Below are 24,208 nucleotides of genomic sequence, written 5' to 3' on the forward strand. Positions count from 1 at the left end.
GACCTCAAGTGATCCGCCCGCCTTGGCCTCCCAAAAGTGCTGGGATTACAGGCGTCAGTCACTGCGCCTGGCCCTCTCCCCTTCTTCTTATCCCATAAAACTGGCATAGAGAAATAGGATTGCTCCTAAAGAGTTTAAATTATGTAAGCAGGGATCCCATTTAACATCATACTTTTCTGAGATAGATGCCTGTCAGGTGAAAGTTACTCTGAAGGTAGCATTATTTAAGATGTTCATATACCCAAAGAACAAGGATGTGGGTCAGAAAGAAGCTGTTGAAGCTACTACATGCTAATTAAATTAATGATTTTCTTTCCAAATTCCCGTTGAATCTCCATTCTTACTTAGCTGTGAATCACAACAAGTATCAGACAAATGACCCATTCCAAATACCAACATTGGTGGATTAGAGTATACTTAGTTTCACTTAAGAATTATGGGATTTTTAGTCATTTTATGATAATATTATTATGGTCACATATCATTTTGAAAAATATAGTTCATTAGGAATATAAACAATCTAATGGATATTTGGTTGCTTAATAACAATCATTTTAAGTATATCATATAAATGAACATGGCTAACATTTAATATTTTTCAGAGGGGATGATATAGATTCTGCCTTTATTTTGCCTCTGTAGTAAAATTATTGTTAAAGTAATTAAAGATATATTGTTCTACATGTGTATGCCTTTGGACAGTAATGATCAGCCTCTTTTATCTTATGTTTCACTAGTAATTATATCCCATGTAGTAATTATTAATTACCATATAATAATTATATAGTAATTAAAACCTATATCCTGTAGGTTTTAACAAATAAGAAATGTAAAACCATACACTTTCAGGAAAGGTCGTATTTCATAAATATTCTGTTATTGTGTTTATCATTTACTGTAAGTGTTAAGCCTGCGAAACATTGTAGTAGAAATTGCTAAGGTTAAAACAAGCCAAAACTATTCTTTTAGTAATTTAATTAAAAATTTCATTGTATGGTCAACTATAAATTTTACTACTTTAGTAACAGAAAACATAAAGATGCTCAACAAAAAATATTGCTGTCATCAGGTTTATGTAAAATTCTACAACTTCAGATGGACAAAGCAGAAAAAAGGTGGTGGCATTCAGAGGGCAGGTGATATGGAGATGAAACCTGAATGTAAAAGATACATCAAGGACACAGCTGGTCAAATGAATGGAGAAGGAACAGAAGTCGAATGGATATCCACAGGAAGCAGGGCCACTGGGGAGCCGGACAAGAAAAAGTCTTTTTGTGCCCATGGGAAACAAAGATTAGAATAAATTTTGTCCAAGCTGACAATGAGTACATCGGAAGGCATAGATTCCCAGAAGCCAGAGCAGGGTCAGAAGGACATGCCACACACCTGATGGCCAGCCAGTTATCAAAGTTGTAATGCTAATTTTGTCTCATGTGGGCTCTAGTAGGTGAGAGGACTTCTGGCCCTGTCATGGTACTGGGATCCTGTGGCAGCAGGATGCCCTAATATATGTTGTGGCATATTAAAAAAAAAATTGTCAGGTATTCACAATGCTTTCAGTTATATCTCAGAAGTAAAATTTGTTTTACTTTCTAATATAAAATAATTGAAATACTTATTGTAATGTAAAATAATAAAATAATGTAAAATAAAATAAGTGAAATAATACTTTCACGTCATACATTAGGAAGTATGATGTACTCATTAGGATCTGTGAGTGCATAGCAAAGAATGCCACTTAAATAAACACTGGCTAATGCTTCCAGCACAGCCCTGGGGACTCGACTGGAGTTCCCAAGTCTGGCTTGATGGCAGCAGCTGTTAAGATTGCCCAACTTGCTCTCCTTGCTTGACTTTCATCTCCTCAAACTTCTTTCTGATAATAATTTGGCTTTCCTTGTAGATTTGTCTACAGGGTAGCAAACGAACAAACAAGAGGATTCAGTCTGCTGTTTTCTACATCTTTCATTGTAAACAAATACATTGCCATCCTGGTTATTATGCATCAATAATTGAGGGTCCAATTAACATGAGTTCTCCAAGGAGAGAAGCGTCTGCTCCTCATGTTCTGATTGATTGGGTTGCAGGGCTCTGGACTAGACCTCGAATAGTGATGAGTTCATAGGGGACATCACTTGGTATTCTTTGCTACGTTTGGTTTTTCTCTCAAAGCGTAACAGGAAGTCTGATAAGACTAACTTTTACACACAATAATCTTTTGGGTACATTATTGATATACTTGGTACAATTAAACTGACTGACTTACCTGTGTCTTGATCCACCATAAATTCTGGAAACTGTCCTGTTTCAGATATTGCCCATCATAAAACTGTCTTACAAATCAATTAACTGAAAGAACAAGGACCAAATTTGAAAAGGATAAAGTCTTCCCTTTTGTTTTCTTTTTGGGCAAAGTTGATACTATAAGAAATTACATATGTCTTAACCCAAATACAAAAGTAAAAGTAGAAGAGTGAATTCTGGAAAACACTAGGATAATGAGAAAATATATATATATATTTTTCCCAGTTTTTTTAAAATTATACTTTAAGTTCTAGGGTACATGTGCACAACGTGCAGGTTTGTTACATATGTATACATGTGCCATGTTGGTGTGCTGCACCCATTAACTCATCATTTACATTAGGTATATCTCCTAATGCTATCCCTTCCCACTCCACCCACCCCACAACAGGCCCCGGTGTGTGATGTTCCCCACCCCGTGTCCAAGTATTCTCATTGTTCAATTCCCACCTATGAGTGAGAACATGCGGTGTTTGGTTTTCTGTCCTTGCGATAGTTTGCTGAGAATGATGGTTTCCATCTTCATCCATGTCCCTACAAAGGACATGAACTCATCCTTTTTTATGGCTGCATAGTATTCCATGGTGTATATGTGCCACATTTGCTTAATCCAGTCTATCGTTGATGGACATTTGGGTTGGTTCCAAGTCTTTGCTATTGTGAATAGTGCCGCAATAAACATACATATGCATGTGTCTTTATAGCAGCACGATTTATAATTCTTTGGGTATATACCCAGTAATGGGATCGCTGGGTTAAATGGTATTTCTAGTTCTAGATCCTTGAGGACTTGCTGCACTGTCTTCCACAATGGTTGAACTAGTTTACAGTCCCACCAACAGTGTAAAAATGTTCCTATTTCTCCACATCCTCTCCAGCACCTGTTGTTTCCTGACTTTTTAATGATTGCCATTTTAACTGGTGTGAGATGGTATCTCATTGTGGATTTGATTTGCATTTCTCTGATGGCCAGTGAGTGATGATGAGCATTTTTTCATGTGTCTGTTGGCTGCATAAATGTCTTCTTTTGAGAAGTGTCTGTTCATATCCTTTCCCAATTTTTGATGGGTTTTTTTTTTCTTGTAAATGTGTTTTAAGTTCTTTTTAGATTCTGGATATTAGCCCTTTGTCAGATGGATAGATTGCAAAAATTTTTTCCCATTCTGTAGGTTGCCTGTTCACTCTGATGGTAGTTTCTTTTGCTGTGCAGAAGCTCTTTAGTTTAATTAGATCCCATTTTCCTACTTTGGCTTTTGTTGCCATTGCTTTTGGTGTTTTCGTCATGAAGTCCTTGCCCATGCCTATGTCCTGAATAGTATTGCCTAGGTTTTCTTCTAGGGTTTTTATGGTTTTAGGTCTACCATTTAAATCTTTAATCCATCTTGAATTAATTTTTGTATAAGGTGTAAGGAAGGAATCCAGTTTCAGCTTTCTACATATGGCTAGCCAGTTTTCCCAGTACCATTTATTAAATAGGGGATCCTTTCCCCATTTCTCGTTTTTGTCAGGTTTGTCAAAGATCAGATGGTTGTAGATGTGTGGTATTATTTCTGGGGGCTCTGTTCTGTTCCATTGGTCTATATCTCTGTTTTGGTACCGGTACCATGCTGTTTTGGTGACAGTAGCCTTGTAGTAAAGTTTGAAGTCAGGTAGTATGATGCCTCCAGCTTTGTTCTTCTGGCTTAGGATTGTCTTGGCAATGTGGGCTCTTTTTTGGTTCCATATGAACTTTAAAGCAGTTTTTTCCAATTCTGTGAAGAGAGTCATTGGTAGCTTGATGGGGATGGCATTGAATCTATAAATTACCTTGGGCAGTGTGGCCATTTTCACAATATTGATTCTTCCTATCCATGAGCATGGAATGTTCTTCCATTTGTTTGTGTCCTTTTATTTCGTTGAGTAGTGGTTTGTAGTTCTCCTTGAAGAGGTCCTTCACATCCCTTGTAAGTTGGATTCCTAGGTATTTTATTCTCTTTGAAGCAGTTGTGAATGGGAGTTCACTCATGATTTGGCTCTCAGTCTATTATTGGTGTATAGGAATGCTTGTGATTTTTGCACACTGATTTTGTATCCTGAGAATTTGCTGAAGTTGCCTATCAGCTTAAGGAGATTTTAGGCTGAGACAATGGGGTTTTCTAAATATACAGTCACATCATCTAAAAACAGGGACAATTTGACTTCCTCTTTTCCTAATTGAATACCCTTTATTTCTTTCTCCTGCCTGATTGCCCTGGCCAGAACTTCCAACACTACGTTAAATAGGAGTGGTGACAGAGGGCATCCTTGTCTTGTGCCAGTTTTCAACGGGAATGCTTCCAGTTTTTTGCCCATTCAGTATGATATTGGCTATGGGTTTGGCATAAATAGCTCTTATTATTTTGAGATACGTCCCATCAATACCTAATTTATTGAGAGTTCTTAGCATGAAGGGCTGTTGAATTTTGTCGAAGGCCTTTTCTGCATCTATTAAGATAATCATGTAGTTTTTGTCTTTGGTTCTGTTTATATCATGGATTACATTTATTTATTTGTGTATGTTGAACCAGCCTTGCATCCCAGGGATGAAGCCAACTTGATCATGGTGGATAAGCTTTTTGATGTGCTGCTGGATTCGGTTTGCCAGTATTTTATTGAGGAATTTTGCATCGATGTTCATCAGGGATATTGGTCTAAAATTCTCTTTTTTTGTTGTATCTCTGCCAGGCTTTGGTATCAGGATGATGCTGGCCTCATAACATGAGTTAGGGAGGATTCCCTCTTTTTCTATTGATTGGAATAATTTCAGAAGGAATGGTACCAGCTCCTCTTTGTACCTCTGGTAGAATTCAGCTGTGAATGCATCTGGTCCTGGACTTTTTTTGGTTGGTAGGCTATTAATTATTGCCTCAATTTTAGAGCCTGTTATTGGTCTATTCAGGGATTCAACTTCTTCCTGGTTTAGCCTTGGGAGGGTGTATGTGTCCAGGAATTTATCCATTTCTTCTAGATTTTCTAGTTTATTTGCATAGAGGTTTTTATGGTATTCTCTGATGGTAGTTTGTATTTCTGTGGGATCGGTGGTGATATCCCCATTATCATTTTTTATTGTGTCTATTTGATTCTTCTCTCTTTTCTTCTTTATTAGTCTTGCTAGCGGTCTATCAATTTTGTTGATCTTTTCAAAAAACCAGCTCCTGGATTCACTGATTTTTTGAAGGGTTTTTTGTGTCTCTATCTCCTTCAGTTCTGCTCTGATCTTAGTTATTTCTTGCCTTCTGCTAGCTTTTCAATTTGTTTGCTCTTGCTTCTCTAGTTCTTTTAATTGTGATGTTAGGGTGTCAATTTTAGATCTTTCCTGCTTTCTCTTGTGGGCATTTAGTGCTATAAATTTCCCTCTACACACTGCTTTAAATGTGTCCCAGAGATTCTAGTATATTTGTGTCTTTGTTCTCATTGGTTTCAAAGAACATCTTTATTTCTGCCTTCATTTTGTTATGTACCCAGTAGTCAATCATGAGCAGGTTGTTTAGTTTCCATGTAGTTGAGTGGTTTTGAGTGAGTTTCTTAATCCTGAATTCTAGTTTGATTGCACTGTGGTCTGAGAGACCGTTTGTTGTGATTTCTGTTCTTTTACATTTGCTGAGGAGTGCTTTACTTCCAACTTCCAACTATGTGGTCAATTTTGGAATAAATGCAATGTGGTCCTGAGAAGAATGTATATTCTGTTGATTTGGGGTGGAGAGTTCTGTAGATGTCTATTAAGTCTGCTTGCTGCAGAGCTGAATTCAATTCCTGGATATCCTTGTTAACTTTCTGTCTCGTTGATCTGTCTAATGTTGACAGTGGGGTGTTAAAATCTCCCATTATTATTGTGTGGGAGTCTAAGTCTCTTTGTAGGTCTCTAAGGACTTGCTTTATGAATCTGTGTGCTTCTGTATTGGCTGCATATATATTTAGGATAGTTAGCTCTTCTTGTTGAATTGATCCCTTTAGCATTAGGTAATGGCCTTCTTTGTCTCTTTTGATCTTTGTTGGTTTAAAGTCTGTTTTATCAGAGACTAGGATTGCAACCCCTGCTTTTTTTGTTTTCCATTTGCTTGGTAGATCTTCCTCCATCCCTTTATTTTGAGCCTCTGTGTGTCTCTGCACGTGAGATGGGTTTCCTGAATACAGCACACTGATGGGTCTTGACTCTTTATTCAATTTGCCAGTCTGTGTCTTTTAATTGCAGCATTTAATCCATTTACATTTAAGGTTAATATTGTTATGTGTGAATTTGATCCTGTCATTATGATGTTAGCTGTTTATTTTGCTCGTTAGTTCATGTAGTTTCTTCCTAGCATTGATGTTCTTTACAATTTGGCATGTTTTTGCAGTGGCTGGTACTGGTTGTTCCTTTCCATGTTTAGTGCTTCCTTCAGGAGCTCTTGTAAGGCAGGCCTGGTGGTGACAAAATCTCTCAGCATTTGTTTGTCTGTAAAGGATTTTATTTCTCCTTCACTTATGAAGCTTAGTTTGGCTGGGTATGAAATTCTGGGTTGAAAATTCTTTTCTTTAAGAATGTCGAATATTGGCCCCCACTCTCTTCTGGCTTGTAGAGTTTCTCCCGAGAGATCCACTGTTAGTCTGATGGGCTTCCCTTTGTGGGTCACCAGACCTTTCTCTCTGGCTGCCCTTAACAGTTTTTCCTTCATTTCAACTTTGGTGAATCTGACAATTATGTGTCTTGGAGTTGCTCTTCTCGAGGAGTATCTTTGGGGCGTTCTCTGTATTTCCTGAATTTGAATGTTGGCCTGCCTTGCTAGGTTGGGGAAATTCTCCTGGATACTATCCTGAAGAATGTTTTCCAACTTGGTTCCATTCTCCCCATCACTTTCAGGTACACTAATCAGATGTAGATTTGGTCTTTTCACATAGTCCCATATTTCTTGGAGGCTTTGTTCATTTCTTTTTACTCTTTTTTCTCTAAACTTCTCTTCTGGCTTCATTTCATTCATTTGATCTTCAATCACTGATACCCTTTCTGCCACTTGATGGAATCGGCTACTGAAGCTTGTGCATGCGTCACGTAGTTCTTGTGCCATGGTTTTCAGATCCATCAGGTCATTTAAGGTCCTCTCTATGCTGTTTATTCTAGTTAGCCATTGGTCTAATCTTTTTCCAAGGTTTTTAGCTTCCTTGCAATGGGTTTGAACATCCTCCTTTAGCTTGGAGAAGTTTGTTATTACCGATTGTGTGAAGCCGTCTTCTCTCAACTCGTCAAAGTCATTCTCTGTCCAGCTTTGTTCCATTGCTGGCAAGGAGCTGCGTTCCTTTGGAGGAGAAGAGGCACTCTGATTTTTATAATTTTCAGCTTTTCTGCTCTGGTTTCTCCCCATCTTTGTGGTTTTATCTACCTTTGGTCTTTGATGATGCTGATGTACAGATGGGGTTTTGGTGTGGATGTCCTTTCTGTTTGTTAGTTTTTCTTCTAACAGTCAGGACCCTCAGCTGCAGGTCTGTTGGAGTTTGCTGGAGTCCACTCCAGACCCTGTTTGCCTGGGTATCACCAGCCGAGTCTGCAGAGCAGCAAATATTGCAGAATGGCAAATGTTGCTGTCTGATCCTTCCTTTGGAAGCTTCGTCTCTGAGGGGCACCTGGATGTATGAGGTGTCCAGTAGGGAGGTGTCTCCCAGTTAGGCTACTCGGGGGTCAGGGACTCACTTTAGGAGGCAGTCTGTCCATTCTTAGAACTCAAACTCTGTGCTGGGAGCACCACTACTCTCTTCAAAGCTGTCAGACAGGGACGTTTAAGTCTGCAGAAGTTTCTGCTGCCTTTTGTTCAGCTATGCCCTGCCCACAGAGGTGGAGTCTACAGAGGCAAGCAGGCCTCCTTGAGCTGGGGTGGTCTCCACCCTGTTCAAGCTTCCTGGCCACTTTGTTTACCTACTCAAGACTCAGCAATGGCGGACCCGCCTCCCCAAGCCTCGCTGCTGCCTTGCAGTTCAATCTCAGACTGCTGTGCTAGCAGTGAGTGAGGCTCTGTGGGCATGGGACCATCTGAGCCAGGCATGGGATATAATCTCCTGGTGTGGTGTTTGCTGAGACCATTGGAAAAATGCAGTATTAGGCTGGGAATGTCCCAATTTTCCAGATACCATCTGTCACGGCTTCCCTTGGCTAGGAAAGGGAATTCCCCGACCCCTTGAGCTTCCCGGGTGAGGCAATGCCCCGCTCTGCTTCGGCTCACACTCCGTGGGCTGCACCCACTGTCTGAGAAGCCCCAGTGAGATGAACCCAGTACCTCAGCTGGAAATGCATAAATCACCTGTCTTCTGCATTGCTCATGCTGGGAGCTGTAGACTGGAGCTGTTCTTATTCGGCCATCTTGGGACCTCCCCTTTTTGAGAAAATATTGAGTAAAGAGGCAATGATAGAAATGGAAAGCTGAAGCTTTGTTATCCCTCTGCCTGAGTGAAGTTTTGTCCCTCAGATCAAGAAGTTGAACCATGCATTATATTTGCAAGTCAAAGCCTGATAAACTGAATGCCTTAGAAATTCTGGGGAGATACAAGTAAAGCATTCAAACTTGCTTATCTTCTACTTATTTACAGTTTATGTATGTCCTAAAAGGATTGTATGGTAATTTACAATATCATATAGTGTGCATAAAATAAAAGATAAATCCAGTTATATAAGTGTGAATTGCTGAACCACTTGAATGAAAGAAATCTTAGTTTTTCTTTTTCCAAATAGCAAGTAAAATCTGTCTTTGAGCAAGATTTTGTAAGACATACAAAATCAAATATTAATTTGTGTATTTTCCTTACCTCTGTTAGCTTATAGAACTCTGTTCCAGCAACACAGGAAAGAGTCTGGTTCCCAGTTGATGGACTGTGTTACTCTATGATTAGCTTCAGAAATAATCCAACCTGTCTCGTGGGCTCTGATGTTTAATGAGGATTGCAGAGATACCCCTACAACAGCTTGTTCTTTCATGCCAGGCTTTACCATGTAGACACTGCTATTTTTCAGGATGAGAACAAAAAAAATTCTCAGTCCCCCTACAGACTGAACAGACCCCCTCTTGGCCAAGAAGACCCCAGGGAAACCTTGGAAGCTGAGTTCCCAGCCACGGTGGGATGGGAGGTTGAACATGCCTCCTTAAACTCCCTCGTTGGCTAACCACTATTAGACTTCCTTCCCTAAGGGTTTAACAGAAACCAGCCCTTTGGGAAGACTCAAGCTGATACCCACCAGCTGCCTAATGCTGCCCCTCCACTTTGTGGTTTTGACAACACAACAACCAGCCAGCATTCCTTCCTGATAAGTGATCTCCAACCCCAGATTAGTTCTGTCTAGTCTATGGAGGAGGCACAGTGATGATTATCGTGTTCTCTGCTTCACTTTTTAATGTCAAATGGCCAGAAACTCCACCCTTAGATCATGCTAATGCTGCCATTTTTTGCACATGTGACTCATGAAGGGGCGTGAAGCTCAATTGCACATGTGCATGTTTTAGCCACTCTGTTCCTGTTCCCTTTGCCCCCGCCTTCCAGATGTCTGTCTGTTTCTGGCTTCTGCCAGAAGCTACGCTTTCCCAGCCTGTTAGAATGGCCACCTGTCAGGCTGCAACCCTTTATGAGTAATAAAGCTCTCCTTTCCAAATCTATGAGCCTGGTCATTCTTCAGTTGACAGGACCAAGGCACTTGGTATGCATACAGTCACCTTTATCTGAGGACCTACCACCTTTGGGGTGCTATGCAGGAGGGGTTACTGGAGTCTACAGGTGTTTACCGGTGTCTACTACCCATAGTCCCCTCTCTTGTCTCCCAGTTCTGAGGGCTTGGAAATGCAATACCACTTACTCTGTCTTTTCTCCTTATCGGTCAAAGCACAAGTCTCCAGTCCAGATGCTCATCTACTTTTTTGCCTTTTTCAAAAGTGCTGAGCATTTCCAAACACAGCTTTGGGGCAGCACAGCAGTGGGGTGGGTGGGTTATTTAGAGCTTTAGTCCTTGAAATACAAAAATAATTGCAAACTCCCCTAAAGACAGTAAACTTTGGAACTCAAATCCTAAGGCTTTGCTAGCCTTTCTATAAGGAAAGAAAAAGGGAAAATTACTTTTTTCCTTCTTTTTAAAAACAGTATCTACAAAAGCAACACAATGAAGACCCCAAGTCATTGTTTGTTTTTACATAATAATGCAAGAATAAAATGACAAGATTGTTTGTTTTTACATAATAATGCAAGAATAAAATGACAAGACCAAGAAGGTAAAAGAGGAGGGATATAAAATGGTTATATCAGAAACCTGAGTAAAAAATAAGTTTTTTTGTTTTGTTTTGTTTGTTTTTTTACTATAATACAGACTTCTAACAGCTCAGTAGCTAAAATGATGAAGGAAACACAGTGGGTTGCCTAGCTGTTGCCTAAAAATAGTAGGTGAACACTTTATTGTATTGATAAAGTGCGTTTGTTAACTAAGCATTTTCAGTGTAAGCTTTAATAGAACGTAGAACACTGCAGAAGTTGGCTAAAGCACCGCAGCTGATTTGCAAGTAGAATGAAGATTTCCACCACCTCTAACTCAGGGCTAAATTGGTTCTTAAAAAGTGGCATTCAATTAGGCTTTGTACCTGGGAGTTGCCTGTAGTGGTTTTGAGAAATCATTCATTTTTAATGAATTTTTCCACCTCGGGGGTCACCCTCACATTGACAACCCCTGGGAAGCATGAGAGGTGCCTCCCTCTCTGTTGGGTCCCCCTAGCAGCCACCTGGCAGCTGGTGCATGCTCCCACTGTGGCATTCTGCAGGTGCAGCGACCCCAGCACCACACCGCTGGGGAGGTCAGCTTCACAGTCCAGCTGCAGCAGCAAGTCATCCAGGTGGGGGTCAGCCATTCTCACGGATGGTCCGTATGGAACACATCTGCTGGAATCTCTCCCCCCACCTCAGGTCGTGGGCCCCCAGCATCACGGAGGACATTTCTCCTGCTGTGGAAGCAGCTGGCCCACAGTCAGCTGGAAGTCAGGACGGACCAGGGCACCCCCACAGAAGTGAATTTCCTGATCCTGAATCAAGATCACGATCCCCTGATCCTGAATCAAGGTCAGAATCCTGGGGCCCAGCCTCAATGAGAACAACTAGTGAGTTTTCACTCATTTTGTTCAGATTTCCTAAGGAATGGTTTTATGGGGGTGCCATCATCAATCTCAAATTAATTTCTAAAATTCATTTTTTGGCCTAACTTCTTGTTGTAAACAATTCCTCTCTCTTTTTTATTGTCAAACCCGAGGGTTTAAACCCAGTAGGCATGTCTGGCAAGAAGCCACTCTTGGTGTCTGATGTCAAGTGGCAGCAGCACAGAGGTGTGGCGGTGGAGAGTTCTAGGGAGATCCATGGCTGGGGGCAGGAAGGTAGTGTGGGAGTGGGGTTGGGGGAAGGGCCTGTATGTAAGCAGAGGAGGAGCTAAGTCCCAGCACGGCCAGAGCCAGAGCCAGAGCCAGAGCCACAGTCTGAAAAGAAGCCAACTCTGAGCCAGGGATGAAGGAAGATGAGGAACCCCAGGACCCAGAGATATGCCAAACCAGGAAATGGAAATGCAAAGACAATACCTAAGCAGGGGCAGGACCTGGGGACAGAATGTGCCCAGATGCATGGGGAGGAGCTGACACAGTTCTCTAGAGCTAAGCGAAATCCAAGAAAGGCAATGGGAATCTTTCACCGGCATCTACCACGTAACCAGCACTTTCAGGTGATCTGCTTGTCAGTTTTCTCCCAACTTCACAGTAATCTGGAGAGTACATACTATTATTTTCATTGCAGCAAAATACATAGTAGATCTTGGCTACTTCCTCACAGTAGCCAGTAACATAAAACAGTGCATATCACTAGCTTAAAAGATAATGAGAAGAAATCCAATAACACTCAGAATCCATTCATCAGTAAAACTCTAAAAGTGTATTAAAGACAAATTTATTAATGGCCACCATAAACACTATATACTTAGCCCAAGAGTTACCATTACATTTAGTAGAAAAGTTGAAAGTGACAAGACTGAGGGGTCCAGGCTACCTTGTTACTTATCTTAGTGGGATGTGTAGCAGAAATAGAGAAAGTATAGAGAAAGGAAAAAATAAAAGAGGCAAATATAGAAAAGTAAGATTTCTTTTTATGATAGATGAAACTGTCTACTTAGAGAACTCAAGAATGGTAGCCAAGAAGTATTAATGGTAATTAAAAGGCAGAAAAAAAAAATCCACAGAAAACCTGTTACCTCTACATATGGTGTTGCTACTTTTCAGTTACTGCACAGAATTCCATGTATGGGCCATCATACCAAACAAATTAAACTGTAGTGGAAATACTAGGCCAGATATACTCAAGATATGGTCAGGTCAGTTTTCAAATCAGTCGACATGATCAGTCCATTGGTTGACTTACTCATTCATTGACTCACTCTTTAATGATTGTTCATAAATAAAAACAAAGGCACTGCATTGGGGGGTATGGTGAGACAGCTTCTAGGGTCTCCATGCTTTTGAAATGTCCAGTCTATTGGAGGAGCCAGCTGTTAAACATGTGGCTGACATGAGGGCTGGTAAGTGCTAGGATGGGGGAGGCACAGGAAGGATGCTGCCATTGACCTGTCCTGGCACAGACTAGGTTTCAGAGATAATTTTTGTGTCATACAAGAAAAATAGTTTTGTTAGTTTAGAGGGCTACCTCATTTTAAAATACAAAATTAACCAACGAGCCAACCAAAAAAGTATCCAATGCCCTGTAGTTACTTGTTAGCTTTGCACAGAAATGACATTGTAAACCTTGAGTTTCATTCACCTGACTGGGCTTCTGCTGACATTTGGATCTTTTAATCTTTAAACCTTTAACCTTTTTAAACCTTTGGACAAAGGTTTGTCATCACTGAGAATACATGAGGTATCTTAAGTTATGAATGTGCCCCCTTAAGAGGGGCAACAATGCTCTGAGCAAGACAGCATCATTACCATAAATGTCAAACACCCCAAAGGGACTACTATAAAGGGGACAAAACTCTCTGAGATGAATCAGTACGGGATTTAAAAATGAATTCTCCTTACTTACATATCATCCCTTTTATGGCAGATCACCCTGGTTTTGCAGAGCTCTTAGTTAACCAGAATTTAGTGCTTATCTGCGCTACTGCTTTCCCTTAAACACTGAACAATAATAACTTTTCTAAAATGCTCATGTTAGGCATGGCAATTAGGATCAGATGAACTGGATTTGGGTCTCAGTCCAGCCTCAGGTTGTAACATGAAGACAGTCATTTAATTTCTTTAAGCCTCCAGTTTTCTCCAAAACATTTTATGAAAATATTCAAACAAACGGCAAAGCTTAAAGACTTTTACAGTGAACACCCATAATCCCACCATTTAAACTTAATCATTAACATTTTCTTTATCACATATCTATTCATGTATCTATCACTCTATCCATCCACTGATCCACTTACATTTTTGATGGATTTCAAAGTAAATTTGCAGATATTAGTATACTTCCCCTAAATACTTCAGCATATATAGCATTAACTAGAGTTGAATATTTGCTTACCATTTTTTATTTTGATGGAAAATGTGCATATTTAAAATGCATAGATCTTAAGTGTGTTTTTGCTGAGCTTTGTCAAATTGCTAAGTTCCAGAGTTGAGCCTCCTCCTTTTTTTTGTTATAAAATGGAGTTAAGAGCACTCATCTCAAAGAGTTGTGAGGCTAACGTATAACAGCCAATGTGAAAAGAGATTTGTAACTTATAAAGTAAGGTAAATGTGAGGTGCCATTTTTCTAATTGTAATTAATATTCTCATCTCTTTGATGAGTATTGCTATTAGATACGAAGCAAACTCTAAGAAGATGACAATTTCATTTAGACCTGTAACCTTAATGACTACACAAGCTATCACTGCCCTAGTGTTAATTGTTAAGCAGTTTGCACACAAATGATTTCACATGATTATGACACCATTGCTTGTGTGACATCTGTTCTGGACATCTGGGAAGCTCTGCGCTGTGTCTGGAATATGTATGACAAAGTGGTGATGGCAACATTCTCTCCCCTTAATTCAATTAACACGGTTGTGTTGCGTTTTCCAAGCTGTCTGTGTGGCCTCAGAGGCTTTACATCCATCTTGTAGTCCAATCACAATTCATGAATGTTTAACAAAACCAGAGGACTGTGGGTCAGAGCAGGTAACTGGATTTCTGTTTTTCTTTAACAAGACCACCCACAGCAATGAAGTTTCAAATGTGGACATTGGACCACTTAATGATTATATTTGGATGCTAGGGTATCCTCATTAGTAATATGTTAATAACTTAGTTATGATGTAATTTGGTTAATAAAATGATATTGTGGAGCAGATGGGGCAGGACTTGTCCGGAATTTTGCCTGCCTGAAAATTTTGGGCAGGTGTTGGAAGTTGGTCATGAGATTCAGGACCTGGAGAAAGTCCTGTTTAGCAGGTGTGGACAGGGCATGGTTGCAGAGGTAGTTCAAGCAAGTTGCCAGCATCAGAGAATAATTCCACAAGGAATAACAGAAGTATAACTACAAGTGCATGGTAACAGGGACTCTAGGGGTCATAACCTGTGAAGGGATCTGAGATCTTGCCCTTCTTGCAAGCTCACAAGTCAGACTGCCAGTTTCTTGGAGGCTGGCAGAAGACATAAGAATCCTGGGTCAGAGACAAAGTACTTTCTTATGACACAGCAAGCAGCATGAATTTCAGGTTTGCATTGGTTCCCCTTGATTCCCTAAGCCTCATGGGAACAAAGCAGTAAAAGAGAAGGAGATCCACTCTTTAATGGCATATTTGAGCTACTAATTTGAAAACCTAGGGAATGCTCAATCTATGAATATTTTGTAATGCAAGATAATAAATATCCTCATTATTTAAACCTTTTGAATTGAGTGTCCTATAAGTTGAAGCCAAAATCCACCTGACACAGTTAGACTAGTTAGATCATCATTGCAATAGTCACAGTGTGAGATGGTGATGGCAGTGGAAAGAAAAAGAATAGAAGTCAGACATTTTTATTTGACTGCATTTTGGAGGAGAAATTAATATTTGCTATTGAATTGGATCTGGGAGTTGTTAAGGAAGAATCCAGCATGACATCTAGGTGTCTGGCTTAAACAACCTGGTGAATAATGATGCCCTTTACTGAGATAGGAAAAGCTGGAAAGAAACAGTTTTGAGGGGATGGGAAGTTAGGGTGCTAATGTGAACACCTAGCTGGAGATGTTAAGTAAGTCTTATAGCTGGAACTCAGAGGAAAGACCTGGGTTGGAGTTGTTATATATAAATGGCATCTAAAGGTATTTATAATCTTTATTGGTTTATAACAGTATTTAAAGCCACGTCTTAGAATAGAGCCTAGGACAACGTACCAACGAATTTCAACATTTAAGATTTGGGTAGAAAGTGATGAGTTATTAAAAAGACAAAGAATGAGACCAGGTAGTGGAGAGGAGGGAAAGGGAAGGGAGGGGAGGGAAAGCTCTAGGTAGAAGGAGAACCAGAAGAGTGTTGTCATAGAAGCTAGGAGAGAGTGGTAAGCCAATGCTTCTGATGAGCTGAAGACAGAAAACCCTCTATTGACTTTCGTAACATGAAAATCACTGATGACTTTGCAAGAGTAGTTTCGCTGGGCTGGTCAGGACAGTTGCTGGATTTGAATGACTTGAGAAGAAAACAGCTAACAAAAGTTGCTCAAGAATGAGATGATTATATTTATTCTGTCTGCATGTATTTTAATTTTTTGACCAGGTGGGGAGAAAGAGTTTCCCTCCATGATAACACCTGGGGATCTCCCTTGAAGGTAGGTCAACTTTCTGCTCTTTCCAGGTAAAAAGAGAGTGATTTGCTGGGATATTTAATAAGGATCCCTAACTACCTCCACCAAAGGCATAGCTCCACAGTTTCTTGGGAGAATAAATTTAGGTTTGAGCCATTGATGGATTGTTATTTTTTGGCATCTTTCTATCCTATACTTAATTCCTTTCTTTTTTTTTTTTTTTGGAATGCTTATATTCTTTATTTCAAATATATCCTTTTTCTCAGATTACACATGTGATCAATCTTTCTCATGGCTTTCATTGACACTGCTTGTTTTCAAATTCTCACCCTCTTCTCTCCTTTCTATCACAGTTAGTTCCTCAGAAGAGAAGTCGACATAAACTGCTTACATTTTCTACACCATAATCCTTTGTCAAACCAGGGAAATAGATTTTGTCCTCATTACTCCATGGAAACTTTCTTTCCAAAGGTTGACAATCAAAACAAGGATACCAAATGCAATGGCATTTTCTCAATTCTCCTCTAACTTTTCTAGGGAACTTATTAACCTTGCCCCACTGCTTAAATTCTTTTCTCCTTTGTCTTCCTAGAACCTGTGTTTTTTGGACCAATTGTTACCTTTCTGACCATATTTTCTCTCTTTTTCTGATTGCTCTAAATGCCTGCATAAAAGCATTTTCCAGGTACCTTGCCTAGCCCCTTTTTTATGTTCTGCCTTTTTGTCATCTCATGTATCTTAGATGAACATATAATGTTCTTCATCATCCAATGCCAAATTTTCAAGATATTCCCTGCCTCAACTCTTCTAAGATGAGGTTCTGAAGGTGCTTCATCTTCCACTGGTTCAGGACTGTACATTGGTTCTAATACTGACAAAATCTCTTGAGATCCTCATTTCAGGAGCAAGTGAAGCCTAGATTTACTTTTAATCTGTGCTTAACCATTCCTATTATGTCTAGGGTATACTTACCGAATGCATTCACACCATTTTCTACCATATCTGTCCAATCTTGTGACCAGAAACCCTGGGAATAGCTCCTGGCGGTCCATTCTAGGAGATCCTAGTTCTGGCTACTTCTCCTTCCCCCTTCGTTCCTCAAGGGATGGAAATTGCTTCTTACTGTCCCCATCAACCCCCACCCCCACCCCCAGTACCTACTGGTTGCTTTTCGCTTTTTCAGCATTTTCATATCAGTGGAACCAATTTCCTGAAGGTTCTGACTAGGCTCTGAATAATACATCCTGGCTCATATTACAATATATTACTGGAATGAGAGGTCTTCCCTGAATCCCAGCCTGACTTGCTAGTTCTTTAATAGTCTATCTAATTCTAGCTATCCCACAATCTGGAAAAGATGGGCCATTTTCCTACACCTAAGTAATTGGTTGGGGTCTTGTTTCAACCTATGTCATTCCATTCTGGAAAAATAAAACTGCTTGCTATCCATTTGACTTTGAGGCTCATCGCTTCCCAGAATATTCTATTTCTAAGTTTGCATTCACCAGATTTTGTTTATTGAATTCATTATCAGTCCAGACTGGATCCAAGTTCACTACTCTCCTTCACCACTCTAAATTGTCTAGGGACCACCTGCATTACAGTGTTACCATTGTCAATTCCTCTTTGTTATACATACTTTGCTACTCCGCATGACCCACCATTAACGTACGTTAGTATGTGTGTCCCAGGAACACTCTGCTCAGGGAGATCAAAACTAACTTCAGACCATCTCTACTCTTAAAAATGAGGATCCTAAAGGATTTGATTAGAGTGAGAACAACCAACCAGGTCTGAATCAGCAAGTATTTGCTTCAGAACCTGAGCTTGGAAGAGTGAAGGCAGGACATTTTGAAAAGTTCGCTCAGGATTCCTTACAGCTAAGTTCGTAAAAATTAAAATGAAAAAAGGGCTCCTTATTTCCCATGAGCAGAACTTTTCAAGTGGCCTCTTCCCATCTGAACAACTCCAGAGAGAATAACCTCTCCCAGTGTGTTGATACAAGAGGCCTGAGGGTTCCTTTTGACCTGTAGACTCCTAAGGGACTGCAGAGAGAGTTGAATTCAAGAGACAGTCGTGACAGAATGCAAAGAATTAATAGAGATGGTAATCACCTGACCATACAATCCAGTGATTAAGGAGGAGTTCTTTAGAAAACTGAAATGGATGGAATTGTTCTTAGAGTTAGGTGATCCTAAAAAACATTTGACTTGTGAAGTGAATGCTGAGAGAAATTCCATAAGAAAGAAAAGCAAGCAGATAGTGTGACAAGAAGGAAAATGAGTCCAGCAAAAAGGAGCTCACCCATACACAGGTATTTAGTTTTCTGTATCAAGCATTGTGTAAGAAGCTAAGGATACAGTGGTAAGCTAGAGATACAGTATTGAACAAGCGGAAGAAAAGACTGTTAAGTGGAAGACAGATAAATGTGTATGAAACCAAATAAAGTATGGGAGGTGGTATGGCAGAGGAAGGGGCAAGTTGCTCAGAGAACATCTAGGCAGGGGAACTAAACTAGACACACTTCCCGAGAAGGAGATGAGTAAGTTAAAGGCCAGAAGAAATTAACCACATGAAATGTGAGGAAGTCATGATCCAGGACACAGGAAATTTACAGGGCACTTGGAAGGAGGAATTCAATAGAGCTGGAGAGTAGCGTGTGAAAAGGAGGTTGGCAAGTGGGAAGAAATGGGATTAGAGAAGTAGACGGGGACGGATGATGGAGGGCTCTCTGAGCTGTGTCAAGATGTTTGGGCCTTATCTTAAGGCAATGGTAGCCATTTAATAATTTTGGACAGGGAAGTACTCCAGGTACTAAATATAACAAAGTCCTTCCCCCAGATTTTCACCTAGGTATGCTTAATGGCAGAAGCTAGTGAACAGTTACCTGGAACATTGTTTGACATATTTAACTTTATGAAGTGGAATTTCTTGGTATCTTCGGTTTCATATTCAAAAACATTATGAGCATTTAGCATAATATATCTGTTTATTTTAGGATAAAATAGTTTAGAACATATACCTTTGATAAAATTGATGTATGTTAAATACAGAGCAAGCAGATACTGAGGCTCCAGGTGCCCCAGTCACATTGCCTTTTACTCTTGAAGTTGCAGAACTAGGAGTAAGAGTTTAAATGAGAATTGTGTTTTCCTGACTGAACCTAGACAGAGAGGAGAGGTGTTTTCCACTTAGAAAAAGACAAAATGCACTGGACATCTACAGAAATGCAAAAAGAGAGAGAGATACATGAAAGATAAAAGACAAATAGTTGCAGACTAGAAGCAATAAAGACAAAACGCCTTGAATATGGGAAGTGGAGAGGAAGTCTTAGCAGTCCCCGCAGCCAGCAAGCTTCTGGGGACAGTGTGACAAGTAAGGGAAGTTAGCCAGTCCAGCTAGCACCTTGGAGAAACCAAGGAACAAGGCACACAGAGCTCCCCTGGATGAGATGTTGCTTCTCATCTGGAGTAGCAAGATTATGCCAATTCCTATCCGGGGAAATTCTCTCACGTGAAGATTAAATAACATCAATATGTGTAAATATAGCTACATAAAACTATTATGTATACTTATGTATAATTAACCCAGTGCTATTGTTATTTTTAAATTAACAGCTTTGTGTTGAAAACCCCATGCAAAATAATTTCTTTCGGACTTTAAGCACCAGAGCCCATGTGACCTCCACCCCAGTCACGATCTTCATAGCTAGGCAGGGTCAGTCCTTGATTTATTCTCCCAGGTTCCCAATTCCAGGTACCTCTTAGTTTTGAACAATGCTGACAATCATAAAAGCAGTTAATATTTATGAGCGCTTATTGTGTGCTGGCACTGTTCTGAATGCTTTACTTGATTACTTCATTCAACAACACTCACAACGACCTTATTTTTATCCCTACTTATAGATGAAGAAAGAGGCACAGTGAAGTTAGGTGGCTAACTCAAGCCACACAGTGAAAGAAGGGGAGTCAGGATTCTAGTGTAGGTGGCATTGGAGCCCATGGTTTTAATCATTCTGATATGTATCCAGGTAACCAATTCATACAGAGCTGTGGTCAGAGCTCTCTCTTCACTAGAGAGGTCTAACATGTGTCTTTCAATGCTAATGCCCAGAGCTCCCTGGGAAGTGAGTTTGGAAGAGATCATGCTAACATGACCTATCTGGTTAGCATAAATCTTCAATTGTCTAAGACTGAAATAAACGTTGGGGCTGGAAAGCTACTTTGGATGAAGGTTGCAGCAGTTTCTCTCTCTTACATAGAGGGTTTTCCAACTACTTCTGATATAGTATAACTTGTTTTTCTGGAAACTCATAAACTCAGATTAATTACCATTGTACATTATAAGCCCAGATGAGCTTATTTTAGACTCTTTATCTGTAGCTTGGAATTCTATATATAGTAACATCCAAGTAAACGAGTTAACCATACTGTATATTTCCTTAGCCCATTCTACTTTCTACATTTCTTGAAAATTATTTTGTATTTTGTTACTTTCCTCAAATGTTCATTATCCCTTCCATCCTTCCTCTCACCTAATAACTTGCTTACTATTTAATTGAGAAAATTAAAGCAATCAGAAGGAGGGTTCCATAAGTGCACCTATCATGTGTGACTGACTGCATATGAGACTGTACATTCTACTTTCTCTCCTTTTAAATGTGGATGTACTATCCTGTCTTCTCAACAACGTCAACCCCTGTATTTGCACATGAAAATGGAATTTCATTCCCTGGATTCTACTTAAAGATATTGCCCAGAAATTCTCTCTTGTCTTTCCTGAAGAGTCAGCTCCCCAACTCCACCTTTTGAATGATTCCCATCAGGTGTTATTTGTCCCATGTACTGTGCCATTTCTCTCCTACCGTTTACAGCAAAACTCTTTAATACAGTTGGTTACACTTGATGTCCCCGAATTCTCTCTGTCCATTCTCTCTCAAGCTCACTCTTGTCATGCTTTTGTTTTTGCCTCTCCACTTAATGACCTCAATATTGCTAAATCCAGTAGTTAAAATTTAGTCATACTATTTAAACTATAATTGACATAATTGACTGCTCTTGCCTTCTGGAAACTATTTCTTCATTTGACTTCTAAGATACCACACTCTTAGTTTCCTATCTCTTTGGTTTCTCTTTCTCAGTCTCCTTTGATGTTTCATTTAAACATCTGATCTCTAAACATTGGAATATCTTAAGGCTCAACCCTTGGACCTCTTCTCTTTCACACCTACAGGTCATCTAATTCAGTCTCTTCACTTTAAATTCCATCTTCATACAGATAGCTCCAAGATCTATGGGTCCAACCCCTACTACTCTTCTGAATTAGACTCATATATCAAGTACCTACTCAAGGAACAGGAATATCAGCTTCATCTGTGTTAGGCAAAAATGAGGAAAGGTAAGAATTGAAAAAGAGCACAGGAAGGATCCGTGTCAGACCCTGTTAGTTGCCAACTCAAAATTCATTCCCCAACCTGTTTCTTGGAAGAAGTACTCTGATTTTGTTCACATATCCATATTTCAGGAGAGAAATCACATACCTACTATCTTAGTCCATTTGTGTTGTATAAAGGAATACCTGAGGTTGCATAATTTATAATGAAAAGAGGTTTATTTGGCTCATCGTTCTGCAGGCTGTACAAGAAGCATGTTGCCATCATCCACTTTTGGTAAGTAACTCAGGAAGCTTCCCATCATGGTGGAAGGCAAAGGGGAGTAGACGTTTCACATGGCAAGAGAGGGAACATGAGGATGCCACAAAGCCATTCATGAGGGATCTACCCCCATGACCCAAGCACCTACCATCAGGCCCCACATTCAACACTGGGGATCAAATTTCAAGATGAGATTTGTAGGGGACAAATACCCAAAGTATATCACCTGCCTCAAGGGTAAATCTTGTATAATCTTAAGCAATGAAGTGGTACTTATGCTAATCATTTGTTATAGGAGACGTCATTTCTGTCTAATAAGAATTGAAGAAAAATCTGATAGAAGGATTCTGAGAAAGGCTTCCTCACTGACAAAAAGAGAGGCACAGAAAAAGATGGACAACTTTCTTTTGATGGACGTTGAGGGCTCTGGATGAGACGCCTGGAGCTATTACAGCCAGCCAGCAATGCAGTGAGTGCTAGCCTGAGGACAAGCCCCATGCTGAGGACAGCCAAGAGGAATGATAGGAGGAGAACAAGTGCCTGGTGATATCAGGAGCCTTTGAAATAGCTAACTCAGGAGCTGCTCTACAGCTAAACTTCCTGTTCTGAGGATACAAATTTCCCTTATTGTTTAATCCAGTTGAGTTGGGATGTTTTTGTTACTTGAAGCTTAACCATTAAAACTAACAATAGTGTGGAAGTTTTCAGGGAGGTAAATCTGAATATACTTATTCAGGTTTAACTGGAATAGTCAAGGTCACAGATTCTCTACTCATTTTTTGTTCTGCTCACCTGTTCTTTTTATCTCAGCTGCCACTGAACAATTGACTGTTAGATTACCTGCTGATTTCCCCAGTTGAATGCCCATTGCATTGAACATCCTCTTTCTCCATTCAGCTGAAAGGCAAGATTGGAATTTTTCCAAAGAAATTTTATAGAATAAGAATGTTAAAAAAAAATAGGAATTTTCCTCTTCCTTCCCCCCTCCTACTCTTCCTCTTCCTCCTCCTCCTCCTTTTCCTCCTCCTCCTTATCTTCCTTCCTGTCCTTCTCTTTCTCCTACTTCTCCTTATTCTTTTTCTTTCATCGTCATTGTTAATTTAAGAGCACACATGAGACTGGTACAGATTTTGGGCACTCATTTCAGTGTGTTTTCCTTACTAACGCTCTCTGTGGAATGGAAAAGAGATGCTAAACAACTTCCAACCAAGGACAGCTTTTGACTGTGACACTCCAACATAGTGAATCAATCTTTCATCTCTTTCAGCCTTCGTCAGAATAAGTTTTTCTTTTAAAGCAACCTTGTGTTCTTGAGTCATTTATTTGCTCACTTATTCAATAAATATTTGTTGAGCACCTACAAGCAAGCCTTTGCTCTAGTTAAGAAGGAAACAGTGTTGAACATGACAGAAGGTGCCCCTGCTTTCAAGGAGTGTACATTCTAGCAGGAAGGGTGTGGGGGTAAGGTTACAAACAATAAAAGGAAACAAACAACCAAGGTAATTTCTGAAGGAAATAAACAAGGTGGCACGGCAAAAGATGATGTGGAAGGAGTGAGGGGCTACTTTAGGTAGAGTGGTCACATCAGGGTTTTCTAAGAGGACTTTGGAGCTCACATATAGAGGATGAGAAGGAGCCAGCTATGCAAAGCCAGGGAAGGCTGATGCAGGCAGAGAAAGCACAGTGCAGGGGTTCTGAAGTCAGAATGAGCTGGGCTTATTGGAGTGGCAGAAAGAAAGCCAGTAGGGCTTGGATATAGTGAGGGAAGGACCAACAAGGTATACAGGGGTAGATCATGATGGCCTGTGACTGTGGGAAAATAATGATTTAACAACAGGGCTGTGGGAAGCCATTGCAAGGTTTAAGCAGGGAGTTATTTAATCTGATTTATATATTTTTAAGGTTCCCACTGACTACTCTGTGGAAAGCACATCAATCTCTGCAGTTGTGGTCACATTGCCTTCTCCTCTTCTGTGGTATCATCTTCCTCCACCTCCTTCCTATAAGGAAACTTGTGATTGCATTTAGGGTCCACCGAGTCAAATTGCTCCATTTCAAAATCCTTAATCATACCTGCAAAGTCTTGTCTTTTGTCATACCAGGTTACATTAACAAGTTCTAGGGATTAGGATGTAAATATCTTTTGAGGAGGCATTATTCAGCCTACCAAAATGTGTATATACTGAGAAAGAGAGAGAGAGAGAGAGAGAGTTCCTGGCTTCCTAGAGTAACAATATACTTCCCACTTACCTCAGATAATTGTCTTTTTTTTCTTTTTTTTTTTTGAATCAGAATCTTGCTCTGTCACCCAGCTGGAGTGCAGTGGTGTGATCACAACTCATTGCAGCTTTGACCTCCCAGGCTCAAGCACGATATTTCCAGCTCAGCCTTCCAAGTAGCTGCATCTACAGGGGTGTGCCAGCACACCTGGCTAGTTTTTTTAATTTTTAA

At 40.0% G+C, this 24,208-nt stretch overlaps 1 non-coding gene and 1 pseudogene across 1 annotated transcript; both read right to left on the bottom strand.

Annotated features, from left to right (window-relative positions):
* On the bottom strand, positions 10,964–11,348 carry AZU1P1 (azurocidin 1 pseudogene 1; annotated as a pseudogene).
* LOC124903255 (small nucleolar RNA SNORD116) lies at positions 11,389–11,481 on the bottom strand. The gene has a single exon (XR_007063950.1). It is a non-coding gene; the product is annotated as a small nucleolar RNA SNORD116 (small nucleolar RNA).
* Positions 11,482–24,208: the final 12,727 nt, after the last annotated feature.

The sequence above is a fragment of the Homo sapiens genome, chromosome 13 (assembly GCF_000001405.40).
Source record: "Homo sapiens chromosome 13, GRCh38.p14 Primary Assembly".
Classification (NCBI taxonomy): Eukaryota; Metazoa; Chordata; class Mammalia; order Primates; family Hominidae; genus Homo; species Homo sapiens.